Here is a 15,707-nt window from a genome sequence, read left to right as displayed (position 1 = left end):
AACTGCATCAACTAATGAGCAAAATAACCAGCTAACATCATAATGACAGGATCAAATTCACACATAACAATATTAACCTTAAATGTAAATGGGCTAAATGCTCCAATTAAAAGACACAGACTGGCAAATTGGATAAAGAGTCAAGACCCATCAGTGTGCTGTATTCAGGAAACCCATCTCATGTGCAGAGACACACATAGGCTCAAAATAAAAGGATGGAGGAAGACCTACCAAGCAAATGGAAAACAAAAAAAGTCAGGGGTTGCAATCCTAGTCTCTGATAAAACAGACTTTAAACCAACAAAGATCAAAAGAGACAAAGAAGGCCATTACATAATGGTAATGGGATCAATTCAACAAGAGGAGCTAACTATCTTAAATATATATGCACCCAATACAGGAGCACCCAGATTCATAAAGCAAGTCCTGAGAGACCTACAAAGAGACTTAGACTCCCACACAATAATAATGGGAGACTTTAACACCCCACTGTTAACATTAGACTGATCAATGAGACAGAAAATTAACAAGTATATCCAGGAATTGAACTCAGCTCTGCAACAAGTGGACCTAATAGACATCTACAGAACTCTCCACCCCAAATCAACAGAATATACATTCTTCTCAGCACCACATCGCACTTATTCCAAAATTGACCACATAGTTGGAAGTAAAGCACTCCTCAGCAAATGTAAAAGAACAGAAATTATAACAAACTGTCTCTCAGACCACAGTGCAATCAAACTAGAACTCAGGATTAAGAAACTCACTCAAAACCGCTCAAATACATGAAAACTGAACAACCTGCTCCTGAATGACTACTGGGTACATAACGAAATGAAGACAGAAATAAAGATGTTCTTTGAAAACAACGAGAACAAAGACACAACATACTGGAATCTCTGGGACACATTTAAAGCAGTGTGTAGAGGGAAATTTATAGCACTAAATGCCCACAAGGGAAAGCAGGAAAGATCTAAAATTGACACCCTAACATCACAATTAAAAGAACTAGAGAAGCAAGAGCAAACACATTCAAAAGCTAGCAGAAGGCAAGAAATAACTACGATCAGAGCAGAACTGAAGGAAATAGAGACACAATGAAACCTTCAAGAAATCAGTGAATCCAGGAGCTGTTTTTTTGAAAAGATCAACAAAATTGATAGACTGCTAGCAAGACTAATAAAGAAGAAAAGAGAGAAGAATCAAATAGACGCAATAAAAAATGATAAAGGGGATATCACCACTGATCCCACAGAAATACAAACTACCATCAGTGAATACTATAAACACCTCTACGCAAATAAACTAGAAAATCTAGAAGAAATGGATAAATTCCTGGACACATACACTCTCCCAAGACTAAACCAGGAAGAAGGTGAATCCCTGAATAGACCAATAACAGGTTCTGAAATTAAGGCAATAATTATGAGCCTACAAACCAAATAAAGTCCAGGTCCAGACGGATTCACAGCCGACTTCTACTAGAGGTACAAGGAGGAGCTGATACCATTCCTTCTGAAACTATTCCAATCAATAGAAGAAGAGGGAATCCTCCCTAACTCATTTTATGAGGCCAGCATCATCCAGATACAAAAGCCTGGCAGAGACACAACAAAAAAAGAGAATTTTAGACCAATATCCCTGATGAACATCGATGCAAAAATTCTCAATAAAATACTGACAAACAGAATCCAGCAGCACATCAAAAAGCTTATCTGCCAAGAGCAAGTGGGCTTCATCCCTGGGATCCAAGGCTGGTTCAACATATGCAAATCAATAAATGTAATCCAGCATATAAACAGAACCAAAGACAAAAACCACATGATTATCTCAATAGATGCAGAAAAGGCCTTTGACAAAATTCAACAGCCCTTCATGCTAAAAACTCTCAATAAATTAGGTATTGATGGGACGTATCTCAAAATAATAAGAGCTATTTATGACAAACCCACAGCCAATATCATACTGAGTGGGCAAAAACTGGAAGCATGCCCTTAGAAAACTGGCACAAGACAGGGATGCCCTTTCTCACCGCTCCTATCCAACACAGTATTGGAAGTTCTGGCCAGGGCAATCAGGCAAGAGAAAGAAATAAAGGGTATTCGATTAGGAAAAGAGGAAGTCAAATTGTCCCTGTTTGCAGATGACATGATTGTATGTTTAGAAGACCCCATCGTCTCAGCCCAAAATCTCCTTCAGCAACTTCAGCAAAGTCACAGGGTACAAAATCAATGTGCAAAAATCACAAGCATTCTTACACACCAGTAACAGAGAAACAGAGAGCCAAATCATGAGTGAACTTCCATTCACAATTGCTTCAAAGAGAATAAAATATCTAGGAATCCAACTTAAAAAGATGTGAAGGACCTCTTCAAGGAGAACTGCAAACCAATGCTCAATGAAATAAAAGAGGATACAAACAAATGGAAGAACATACCATGCTCAGGGATAGGAAGAATCAATATCATGAAAATGGCTATACTGCCCAAGGTAATTTATAGATTCAATGCCATCCCCATCAAACTACAAATGACTTTCTTCACAGAACTGGAAAAAACTACTTTAAGATTCATATGGAACCAAAAAAGAGCCCTCACGGCCAAGTCAATCCTAAGCCAAAAGAACAAAGCTGGAGGCATCACACTACCTGACTTCAAACTATACTACAAGGCTACAGTAGCCAAAACAGCATCGGACTGGTACTGAAACAGAGACATAGACCAATGGAATAGAACAGAGCCCTCAGAAATAATGCCACCTATCTACAACCATCTGATCTTTGACAAATCTGACAAAAACGAGAAATGGGGAAAGGATTCCCTATTTAATAAATGGTGCTGGGAAAACTGGCTCGCCATATGTAGAAAGCTGAAACTGGATCCCTTCCTTACACCTTATACAAAAATTAATTCAAGATGGATCAAAGACTTAAATGTTAGACCTAAAACCATAAAAACCCTAGAATTAAACCTAGGCAATACCATTGAGGACATAGGCATGGGCAAGAACTTCATGTCTAAAACACCAAAAGCAATGACAATAAAAACCAAAATTGACCAATGGGATCTAATTAAACTAAAGAGCTCCTGCACAGCAAAAGAAACCATCATCAGAGTGAACAGGCAACCTACAGAATGGGAGAAAATTTTTGCAATCTACTCATCTGACAAAGGGCTAATATCCAGAATCTACAAAGAACTCAAACAAATTTACAAGAAAAAACAAACAACCCCATCAAAAAGTGGGCGAAGGAGATGAACAGACACTTCTCAAAAGAAGACATTTATTCAGCCAACAGACACATGAAAAAATGTTCTTCATCACTGGCCATCAGAGAAATGCAAATCAAAACCACAATGAGATACCATCTCACACCAGTTAGATTGGCGATCATTAAAAAGTCAGGAAACAACAGGTGCTGGAGAGGATGTGGAGAAGCAGGAACACTTTTACACTGTTGGCGGGACTGTAAACTAGTTCAACCATTGTGGAAGACAGTGTGGTGATTCCTGAAGGATCTAGAACTAGAAATACCATTTGACCCAGCTATCCCATTACTGAGTATATACCCAAAGGATTATGAATCATGCTGCTATATATAAAAACACATGCACACGTATGTTTATTGTGGCACTATTCACAATAGCAAAGACTTGGAACCAACCGAAATGTCCAAAAATAAGAGCCTGGATTAAGAAAATGTGGCACATATACAACATGGAATACTATGCAGCTATAAAAAAGGATGAGTTCGTGTCCTTTGTAGGGACATGGATGAAGCTGGAAACCATCATTCTCAGCAAACTATCACAAGGACAAAAAAAACGAACAGTGCATGTTCTCACTCATAGGTGGGAATTGAACAATGAGATCACTTGGACACAGGAAGGGGAACATCACACATAGGGGCCTGTTATGGGGTGGGGGGAGGGGGAGGGATAGCATTAGGAGATATACCTAATGTAAATGAGGAGTTAATGGGTGCAGCACACCAACATGGCACATGTATACATATGTAACAAACCTGCACGTTGTGCACATGTACCCTAGAACTTAAAGTATAATAAAAAAAAATCAAACTTTCCAGAGAAGACATCTCCAGAGAAGACACACTGAATATGCACCTGCTAGGCTTCAGGCACCCAATAATTACTGCTTACCTAGATATCCGCAAATCTTCTAGACATGAGACTATTCATAGCAGATTCTGGTGTGTATCACATTTGTAATGAAGCACTTCATCCTCACTTACTCTAATAAAAATACTTTAAACTTACTTCCCAAGGCACTTTTGTCTAGTCTAAGCAAACATGTAGCTATCCCAGCTTTCTCAGTTATTTTAAATAAATCAATATTTAAAATACCTATAATTAGCGTATTTATAATATATTGGTTTGTGTTATATCAAGTAATTATAGTTTGTTTTATTATGAGACAGTCAGTCATTCTGTCACAGGCTGGACTGCAGGGCACCACCATGGCTCACTGCAGCCTGGATCTTCTGGGCACAAGCCATCCTGCTGCATCAGCCTCCTGAGTAGCTGGGACTATAGCATGTGCCATCATGCCAGGCTGATTTCTAAAGGAATGTTTAGTAGACATGAGGTCTCACTATGTTGCCTCCACTGGTCTGGAACTCCTGGCCACAAGCCATTCTCACACCTTGGTCTCCCCAAGTGCTGGGATTGGAGGTGTGTGCCACCATGCCTGGGCTCCTTTTTTATTCTACTACATTATGCATTATTTGACATTTTGGGTCTTAAAAGTTATAATTCCACAGCGTTCATGTAATTATGGAACCCATAAAGAGCTTACAATTACCAACATATTATATACATGGAAAAGTCTTTTCTTAACTTCAATTTTATCGTTTAAATTGGCATATGTTTATTAACTTGTTTCTGAGATTCATCAGCTTTGTTGCATTCAGTGAGTTATTTATTGTTTTATAGGATTATTTTGCATAAATACACCAAATTTATTTAGCTATTCTACAGTTGAAGAATATTTTGGGTCTAATTTGGAGCTACTATAAAAATTGATGCAGTGAACAATATTGTGTATGTTGAAGTATATGTAGGCAATCAGTTGACTATATTTTAGAATTAGAATATCTAGCCCATAAGAAATGCTAATAATCAGTTTCCCAAAAGGGATATCCATTTACATCTCTCCAGCCATGAATAAATTTCATTTATTCTGTATCTTTGGCAACACACAATATTGTGTGTCTTTAAATTTTGGTATTTTTTATGGGGGCCTGTGGCACAACTGGTGGATTAATTCTTACTTTTGTAAGACTAATGAAAGTGAGCACTTTTTTATATTTGGCTAGTTATTTATGTATCCAATTCTGTAAAGTGTCTGTTCAGATATTTTAGCCAATCTTCTATTGAGTTCACTGTCTTTTATTTATTACAATTTAAGTATTCATCATATATATGTATTATATTTTACTTTATGTATGTTGGGGTGAATATCTTTCTCCACTACTAGTTTGCATAATGTTTTTTGAAACACAGAAGTCATCATTATCAATATAAATGAACTAATTGTTTTAATTATTAATTTGTGCCCTGGTTAAGAAATCCTTATGAGAATATTGTATCAGGTTCCCCTTCCTTTCAGGACTTCAAACTATCTGGAAATGACTGTGTATGGTTTGAGGTAGGAGTCAATATTTAGTTACTTTAAAAAAAAATTCAATTAATCCAGCATTGGTCTGATCACATTGTGTATTTCAATGTAGACAAGCACACTAATAATGAAGGATTATTCATATCTGTGGTGAGAATTGCAAAATAAAGCCCAGCATAGAAGGTCAAATAATATTACCTCAAAGGATAGATTAATACAATGAAGCCTGATGGATAAGTGTAATATAGTTAGATAAAGAGGAAGAAAAACATTTCCCAGTTATCATTGAGACTTCACTCCAAGTTTTTTGCATGAAGCAAAAGATCCTGACTGTCTTCCATTGATTTTTACTTCATTCAGACATGTCTGCCATCTATTATTTCACTCAGTGACAGTCAGAAATAAAGAAAAAAAGAGAATATACTGTATGCCATGATCATGAATAATGATTTTTCAAAAATTATTTAATAAAGAACCAATACATATACTTTTAGTGTTTTCAGCATATTTAATAGTAACACAATAAATGAGTTTTGATAACATTAGAAGGCAATTCAAGATATAAAATAGAGCCTATTTGTCCTGTATGTTAAGGCACAAGGAAGAGGACTTCCTGGGATAAAGGGGTTCCCACAGCATGTGAACACATTTCTGATTTGTCTCTGGTCAGAAGTGAATACAGCAAAAGATAGGCCTGAGAGGAGGTGAGAAAGAGCAATTAGGGATGGTGTATATTAGGGAGCTTTGATTAACATCAACAAAGCTCACAGTCTTAGCCTCACAATCCAGGAATAATCCTACTCGGCTGGTAGGTCTTGGGATATATTGCAGCAGAAGTGGGGAGGTGGTAAAGAGACTGCGTTGAATGTCATTCTTAACACACCCAAGAAGAAAGAGTCCATCCTCTCCATCTATCTTCTCATTCTGATTCTTCTCTTTCCAATACATATTACAGACACCAAAAGCCCAATTCCAGGAGTCCCCTACATGGACCTCCCAGTAATATTTGCCCGAGGTGAAAGTCTGAGCACCCCATGCAAGAAAACTTCTAGGTGTTGCAGTGAAATAGGGTACATCTTGATGGTCACATCCAATACACATGCTTCTCAAAATTTCACATAGAAAGATATCACTGTTGGCTTCTTCATGATGCAGAGTAATATGCACTGCAAAAAAAAGAGAAAACATGCATAGACGTGTAAATAAGAAAAAAATAATTGTCTATCAAGAAGTTACTTTACCAGCAAATGTAAAGTCATAAAAAGTTTTGCTTGTAACTTCTAGTAAAGTATAGAGATGGTTAATATTATATACAAGACAAACAGAACCCTAACCACAGATATTATGTTTTTTTGAAAACTTACATATTGAGAGCCAAATGTGAGACCAACTTCTTTCAATCCAATTTTCAAAGTAAAATTTATACATTGTATGCCCTAAATGTAATGCTGTTATCAAGATCATTATTTAGAAATGTTTCTTATTCTTAAAAACTAGTGCTATCATTTTGGAAAGAATGTGAATGTGAAGATTTTCACTTACTCTAGAACTGCTCTAGGTATCTGGATAAAAGTCCATATTTACATGTTATAAGTGATAATTTAAAGCAGATCTCTGCAAAATCTTTGACCAGTCTCTCTGCTGTCCTCCATGCTAGCTCTGGGCTGAAGCTGGATTTTAGACTTAACATGTAGCTCTTCATATTGCAATTAAACTGAACTTATTTTCATTTGTAATTTTACTTATATTCACAAAATGATTTCTTCCTTTTAGCTTTACCTATTAATTCAAATGTTTGCAATATATGAATAATATATACACATTAAAAAAATACAAAACCCCCAAGAATCTCCAGAAAACTATATTCCCCCAAAGAACAGTTCTTAGCAGTTCAAATGAATACACTAAAGAAATGTACAATTTTGTATTTAACATTAAATAATTCACCATTCTGAGCATTATTTCATTGGCTCCTTTTTTAAATTTTCTACACTACTCCTTTTTCCTATTATATAACTCAGTACATATTATGCCAGAAAGTATTTCTTTTTCACTATCTTTCAAACTTAATGCTATAAATCTGACTGTAAATACAGACACGGATACCAAAGGGTTGCATGGTTATATTGTTCACTTATGTCTTAAAAGAAGTAAAATATTTGATAAAATATGAAATATTACCTATGTGATCCTAACAATAATAATATTTAGATAGTGGGAGTGCTGCCTGTGGGTGGAGACTTACCTCGGAATTGGTTGAGCCTGTCCCTCAGTCCAGTGATGGGCCCTGCACTGAGCTCTGGATTCAGAGGCTGGGGCATGTGCAGCAGCACGGACTCACTCCTGCAAGGAAAAACCTGCAGTTACAACATCTACAGCCATAAAATAAATAAAAATCACTATTTGTATGTAAAAGACATTTCATGAGAATCCTTTGAATCTACACATTTGATAATTCAAAAATTATTCCTTCCTTTTGCAAATTAATTCTTTACAGTTTCTAAATTTTTAAGCATGATGGAAGAATCTAAGCCAGAATTCAATCTGATCCTTCTTTTTTTTTGCCCCAAATGTGTAAGGTTCCTTAGCTTTATGGCCTTGAGAATATTTAGAAACGAAATTCTGAGTTCCACTTCTTGGCAGACTCCCCTGACATCTTTGTCTGAAATAGCGGGGTTCTGGGGAGACTGATGCTTCCACTGCTTCCTTCTCAAGATAAAGAATGGAAACTTGTTCTCTCCCCTTTTAGCAAAGAACTTCCCTAGAGACTTATACAGTTCTAACACTCCAGTTTTTTTCGATCTATTTTTCAGAACTGTTAACTGATATGTATATATGTATAAAAAACAAAACATCAACACTTTTTCACTGCTAAAATACTTCCTCCTCTTCTCTCCTGCTTCCTCTGGTGACTTTCTCACCATCCACAAAACAAAACTCTTATCTTTCTCCTGTGCAGGCTTTCAAGCAATAAAACAAAATCAGGGGCCGGGCGCGGTGGTTCACGCCTGTAATCCCAGCACTTTGGGAGGCTGAGGCGGGCGGATCACGGGGTCAGGAGATAGAGACCATCCTGGCTAACATGGTGAACCCCGTCTCTACTAAAAATACAAAAAATTAGCCGGGTGTGGTGGCGGGCGCCTGTAGTCCCCGGTACTCGGGAGGCTGAGGCAGGGGAATGGTGTGAACCCGGGAGGCGGAGCTTGCAGTGAGCCGAGATCGCGCCATTGCACTCCAGCCTGGGCGACAGAGCCAGACACCGTCTCAAAAAAAAAAAAAAAAAAAAAAAAAAAAAAAAAAAAAATCAGGAATCAAATTGTTTGTTTTAGTTCACTCTTCTTTTATTCATTTATTTACTTCGTGGCCTTGTCTTTTAAGGTGTGGGAACGAAAGTAGATGCAAAAAAAAAGTGGTATCAATATCTTAATTATTTATGCCATGACTTTATGCCATGACTTTAATAAAGCCTGCTTTGATAGTCGTGGAATCTTAAAGAACATATGCTAAAATCTAGGTACACACTCACCTGTGTAATATGTCTCCAAAAGCCTGAAAAAAAAAAAAAAAAGAGAGATTTAGTGCATTTCACAAGATGCATCTTTCACTAAGTTCAGTGTGAGATTTGTACTCAGTTTCTGAAGATATTATTCCCCTACCATCTTCTCTTCTGGAAAGTATTTTCTATTTCATTTCTTCTGTAATGAAAAACCCAGTCAGTTGTATTGTTATTAATTAACGTCCTGGGAAAGTCTGAGTCTTGAAGACATTCTCTAAACAAGTGAAGGGAGAAGAGGCCCAGAAGGTCTATGCTCTGTGGTAACCACGAAAAACCTACTCAGTCATCTTTAACTGAACCTGTTACCCAAATGAGTGGACCCCAAAATAACGTTAATGCAAACCTAGATTCCCAAAACTTCTGATCTTGCCATGTTTACAAATTAACCTAAATGTAAATGAATCACTCACTATTCTATACATGTTTAACAACCCAAAGTATATTATTGAATTAGATGGGGAATATTTCTTGGGGCTGTTACCTTGACCATTCCACAAAGTTTTGTGGCTGGTGGATAAAGTAGGAGGGACCTTTGGCCTGGTAGAATCCCTTAGTGGGGCTATACTCTCCCAACAAAGTAGCATTAGTTATGTGAATGTGTTTTTGGAAACACATCATGGAAATAAAATTAGGGAGATGGATTTCAGCCATGAGGAAAATACTTATACATGTGAATATTCAAAAACCTGAAACCACATGGCGAGTTTGTACCTGAAGTAGCTCCACATCTGGTTTATGGCACATTTCGTTCAGCTCCTCATACATTCCTCTTAAAATCTCCCTCCTATGAGCCATTTTGGCTTTACTTAAATGAAGTCGATGAAAAATATCTTTCCCCTTCTTTTTCAGCATCTCCAAATTATGTTTTTCTTCTTCATGGTGAAATGCAGGCATCTTCTGATACTCAGCTCTAATTGCTTCTAGCCTTAAATTCACATAATCCTGCAGTGATAATGGGTTAGTCAAAAGAGAAATGTATATATCCATCTCCTATTAAATCTCACTGATTCCTTTTGTCTCTCGAATGTCCAATAGTTCAAACCTCTGTCTTGCCAGTTCTTAGAATCTACAAATTTTGTTCCTTTCCTTTTTTCTGCGTAAAGATCAACATAGCTGTATCTGACCAATTACATTAAATTTATTCAAGATAATGTGTTTTCTAAGATAGTTGAAAATAAAAAAACACAATTTGAATTTCGCTATTCCAACCCATATTTATGGAAAAGTAAGAAGAGTTCATGCTTAAGAGTTGGAGTATAGGGCTATAGTTACTAGAAAGGAAACAATTATTTCTATTTCTGAGATATGCAACAGGTTGCTTAAACTCATTATGTGTAAAATGACCTTAGACTAGCATGTCCAGCTAAGTGCATTTCACCCAGCAAAACCTATCCTAATAAGGCTGCATTTATGATTTGGCCATCTTTGTCTCCCTGAATTCATTTCCTTCTATTCTTTTTCTAAGTCATCCCAATCTGAAACATAGACTTCTTTGTGGTTCCTCTGGCCTCCAAATATACACAAACTCAAAATTACTGCATATGCTATTCTCTCCAACTAGAATTACATATATATGTATACAAACACACACACATACATACATACATACATATATATATATACACACAACCACACACACATACATACATATACACACTCATGGTCCACATATATATCCACACACACATTTGTGTTCCCCCTCCTCTTCAAAACTTTGTTTCAATTTGAATTTTTCAGTGAGTCTTTTTTCTGACCACCCTATTTAAAACTCAAACACTAATCTCCAGTTTCTGGCCTCCATTGTCCTTTTCTACTTCCCTGCTTGATTATTCTCCAACAAAAAACCTACCACACTCAAATACATCATGTATTGCATATATTTGTGTATTGACCATTTGACTCTCTTATTTGGATTGTATGATTTGTGAGGACAAAGGTGCTTCCTTTCTTCTTTACTAGTATATTTTCTAATTTAATATTCAACGTAGACTAGGTTCTCATGAAATGCTTTTCAACAAACTAATATTAGCTATCATTCCCTCAAAATATACATCCACAAAGAGAAAATTATTTTTAATGTTTTTCTGAAGTCCTCAGAGTTCTCCTTATATTTAGATACTAGTTCCCATATTTCTGGCATGTTTACATGTCTCCCTCAAGACACAAATCCGTATTTCTCACCACTTTTCTCATCGTATGTTATGTATTTTTCAATATTAATTAGTTGAGATTCTTAATTTCATGGTTTCCCTAGATTTGCCCTGTCACTTTTTCTGCCTCAAATTTTCCATACAATTCCAAATACTACTTGCACACTAGCATTCAGATTAATGCTGACTGACACTCAGAAGTTTCAGCTGAGCATTCCATGACTGCCAAATAACCCTTTTGCCTAACATTTATCCAACCAGCAAATATAGAATGCTGTGCGATGGCCCAGTTTCTTGGATCTGTTGGTGTATAACTATAGGTTTGTATGAAACAAACCAGCATGCTTTGGGTGACATCAGTAGTTTTCTTAGAAATCCTACCTAACAGGCATACTATTCTATATAAAAATGAGGCCACTTTTTCTCAATGTTTTCTCTCGCTTTTTTTTTCTTTTTTTTTTACTGAATCCCAGAAACATTACAGTTTGATATCCAGTTCCTATTTTAAGAGTCACCCATTTGCCCACCATAAGTTCCTGGAGAAGGTAGAGTAGTACAGGACTAACCTTCCAGCATCTGGTTCTGGTGGTTTCCACATTCAGGTTTCTGTGATTTTCACAAGCTTTTTCCCACAAAGACTGCATTTTCTGTAAAAGCTTCTCCTGCAAAAGAGCCATAAATTGAAGCACCAGTGCAGACCATGACATAGGGAGGGGCCCCAGAATGAGAGACAAATAAACCCCTAGTAAATGGCATTTCCTTTGTTTCCCTTCATGTTTGTCAAAGCCCAGAGGTTGGAAGCTAAGAAAGCCCAAACAGAGCTGCTTAAAGGGACTCAGAGTTTGTTTTATCCAATCTCCAAGAAAATAGACCCACAGGAATTTTATGTATCCTTTACAGAAATCGATCTTCAGAGCCATCACTTACCTGGTGTTCCTCAGCAGCCGACTCAATGGGACAGTGTCTGTGATCCCGGTGCTCCTGAGAGCTGGAGCACAGCAAACAGAGCAGGCTCCTGTCCACTTCACAGAACATCTTCTTTGTCTCCCTGTGAGTGCCACACATTTGCTCCTCAGAGCTCAGGAATAGCCAGAGACTGACTTTTCTAGCAAGAGAAGCCATCTTCTTGAAATGAATGTTGGTTTTGAGGTTTATCTGCCCTGTTGACTTTGTGCATTCAGAGCACTGGACAAGAAATGGGCTGTCTTTCCAGTTGAGGTAGAAACAAGGCCTGCAAAAGCTGTGCCCACAGTCTATGGTGACCGGGTCTATGAAGTAGTTCATGCAGATGGGGCAGATGAGTTCCCTCTGAAAGACCTGTAAGATTCCAGAATTCATGTTTCTGAGGAACAAAGAGAAACATGTCATTTTGGGGCCTGGGTTGATGAAAAGCTTCTAAACATGTGGAGATATGTGATAGTTATATTTTCTTCTCTTGACAGTGTTCATTAAAGTACAACAAACTATTTCTTCTGTTACAAACTTAAAAATTTACACATAGAGGGAGTCTCCTGGCTTTATAACAGATATTACTAACTAGAGCACTCACAGTCCCTTCTACTCCTAGTTCCTGTCTGTAGCATAATACGAACCTATTCAACTACCCATTTTCTGAACGTAGATCTGGAAATTGGGTTTTGATTCTAAGTGGTCAGAATAAATCATAGTTGTCCCTATTCTTCTTTCAATAACTGATGAATGACTATGAAAGAGTGGGAAAAAACTACCTGGGCCAAAGAAATATGAGAAGATGGCCAAAGAAATATGAGAAGATGGTTCTATGACATATTTTTATAGAGGGTCACAAAAGCCGGGCAGCAAACCACCATGGCACAAGTTTACCTACATAACAAGCCTGCAAGTCCTGCAGTTATCCCAGGACTTAAAATTAAATTAAATTAAAAACAAAGACCCAAATCAAAACAAAATTAAAAAAAAAAGCCCACCAACCAAATAAACAAGAAAAAGACTGCAATTAAACCAATCAAGGTTCACTAGTAGGGAAAAGAAAAATTATTAAAGATATTGGGTCTTTTTATTTTCTTGCGGATTAAATTAACTTCCCCTAGGGCTGTGCAAACTCTGAACTAACATATAGGAGGTTTTTGTTAAACTCAGAGAGGTGTAATTATATTTCCATGGTGTGATGGTGAATTTTAGGTATCAGTCTGACTGGATTAACCAATACCTAGGGAACTAGTGAAGCATTGTTTGTGGGTGAGTCTGTGAAGGTGTTTCTAGAGAAGAGAGATATGTGAGTTGGTGAGCTGAGTGGGAGCCTCATCTCTCAATGTGTGTGGGCACCATCCAGTCAGCTGACACCTCAGATATAAAGAAAAAGGCAGAAAAAAGGCAACTTCCTCCGTCTCTCTCCTGAAACTTGTTCTGAAGCTTTCAGACTTGAGCTTAGCCAGGATACCGGTATTCTCAGGACACCAGCTTAGAGACAGCCTATGTTGGAACTCTCTAGACTCCATAATCAAGCAAATTAATTTTCCTGATGAATTCTGTCCCATGTAGAATCATGTATAGCTTGTGGACAGATGTATGTTCTGAGAAATGTGTCAGGTGTTTTTAGTTTTTTTTGTTTTTCTTTTTTTTGAGACAGAGTATCCTTCTGTCACACAGGCTGAAATGCAGTGGCGTGATCTCGGCTCACTGTAACCTGCGCCTCCAGGTTCAGAGTGATTCTCCTGCATCAGGTTCCCAAGTACCTGGGATTACAGGAACGTGACACTAGGCCTGGCTAATTTTTGTATTTTTTTTAGTAGAGATGGGGTTTTGCCATCTTGGCCAGGCTGCACTTGAACTTCTGGCCTCAGGTTATCTGCCCGCTTTGGCTTTCCAAAGTGCTGGGATTATAGGCACGTGCCACAGTGCCCAGCCAGGTGGTTTTATTGTTTTAATATGATAGAATATACCACACAAATCTAGATGGTATAGCCTACTACACACCTATGGTATACACTATAGCCTATTGTTCCTACAATAGGCTACAAACCTGTACAGTATGTTCTGTACTGCATACTGTAGGCAACTGTAACACAATGATAACTATTTGTGTATCTAAACATAATTGAATACAGAAAAGGTACAGTAAACATATTGGTATTATAATCTTATGGGACCACCATATGTGGTTTGTGGCTGACTCAAATGGCCGATAAATGTATCAGCACACATATACGTATACATCCTATGGTTCTGTCTGGAGAACTCTGACTAATATAAAAACTATAATCTTTGTTTTGGCAATTTTAAGTCCTTTAGCATAAAGCAGCATAAAGCTGCTAGTTTAATATCACTTCTGAATTTAAGTGAAAGCAGTGAAAAATCTTAGAATTGCAAATATTTTCCAGAACTCATCTAAGACATTTTAAGAAATTTTTCACAGTTTAATAAGATTGAGATTCAAGTGAGATGACAATCACAATCACATACCAAATTAGGTATTATAAATTTACTTGTTCAAAAAATTGTGTTTTGATTTCTAAAGTAGGATATTTTGGGGAGCTTTCTCATTGTTTTAGTTTCACTATTTTGCATCGTTCATCATTACCTTACTAATTTAAAGTCAAGTCTAAAACCTGAATGTTATGAAAGCAAATAACCTCATCATTCATTAATGCCTTCTCAATTCAATTTGACAATATTAATACACTCATTATATACATATACACACACACCTATGTGTACATATATATATCAACTCCATATATTCATTATGAATACATATCTGTTGCAGCAAACACTAGATATTTTGTTTTTCAGAACTATATTAAACAATCATAGAAAGCACAAAATAACAATTAGTATCCTTATAATTCATAAAATCTATAGTAAGAACATGAGTTACAAATGGTATCATTGTGTAGATTTAAGATAATGAGATATTTTTAACACTCTAATTTATTATTGTGTAAAGGAAAGATGATATAATTTTATCAATATGTTTCACTCACCCCTGAGTTCTTTTAATGGTTCCCACAACGATTTTTCCAAAAATAATTTTGTTAAGTTCACCTCAACGTCAGAAGCTCATTCACTGCCGTACTGAATTTCAGAGGTCACCAAAATGCAGTTCTAAGTGCAGTCCTTCTCCTTCAGAGAAAACTGAGCTTGTCTCTTCTGTGTCCTTTTATAAGAATCTGTGGAGACCACACCCACCTCTTTATGGGTATTTAGAGCATTCAGAAAGGTGGAGACAAAGATGATTAGGTTTATGCAGTATTTAGAAGACACCTTTGCAGCTCTGATTAAATTATCATCACACTTGCATTCTGAACACCAGTGCCTGAATGAATCATATGTAACATAAATCCTATCAGAGCATACATAGGCTAGAAATTAACTAAGATGCA

General features: G+C 36.9%; 1 protein-coding gene across 1 annotated transcript; it reads right to left on the bottom strand.

Annotated features, from left to right (window-relative positions):
• Window positions 1-6,128: 6,128 nt before the first annotated feature.
• On the bottom strand, window positions 6,129-15,461 carry TRIM49B (tripartite motif containing 49B). Its single transcript, NM_001206626.2, has 7 exons — window positions 15,309-15,461; window positions 12,274-12,688; window positions 11,913-12,008; window positions 9,908-10,138; window positions 9,167-9,189; window positions 7,886-7,983; window positions 6,129-6,806 (listed from the first exon to the last, which is right to left on the bottom strand). Exons 2-7 carry the CDS (start codon window positions 12,682-12,684, stop codon window positions 6,307-6,309), a joined length of 1,359 nt encoding a protein of 452 aa, NP_001193555.1. The 5' UTR covers window positions 12,685-12,688; window positions 15,309-15,461; the 3' UTR covers window positions 6,129-6,306.
• Window positions 15,462-15,707: the final 246 nt, after the last annotated feature.

The sequence above is a fragment of the Homo sapiens genome, chromosome 11 (genome assembly GCF_000001405.40).
Source record: "Homo sapiens chromosome 11, GRCh38.p14 Primary Assembly".
NCBI lineage: Eukaryota > Metazoa > Chordata > Mammalia > Primates > Hominidae > Homo > Homo sapiens.
Note: the sequence above shows the minus strand (reverse complement) of the source record. Positions and strands in the feature narration are given on the sequence as shown.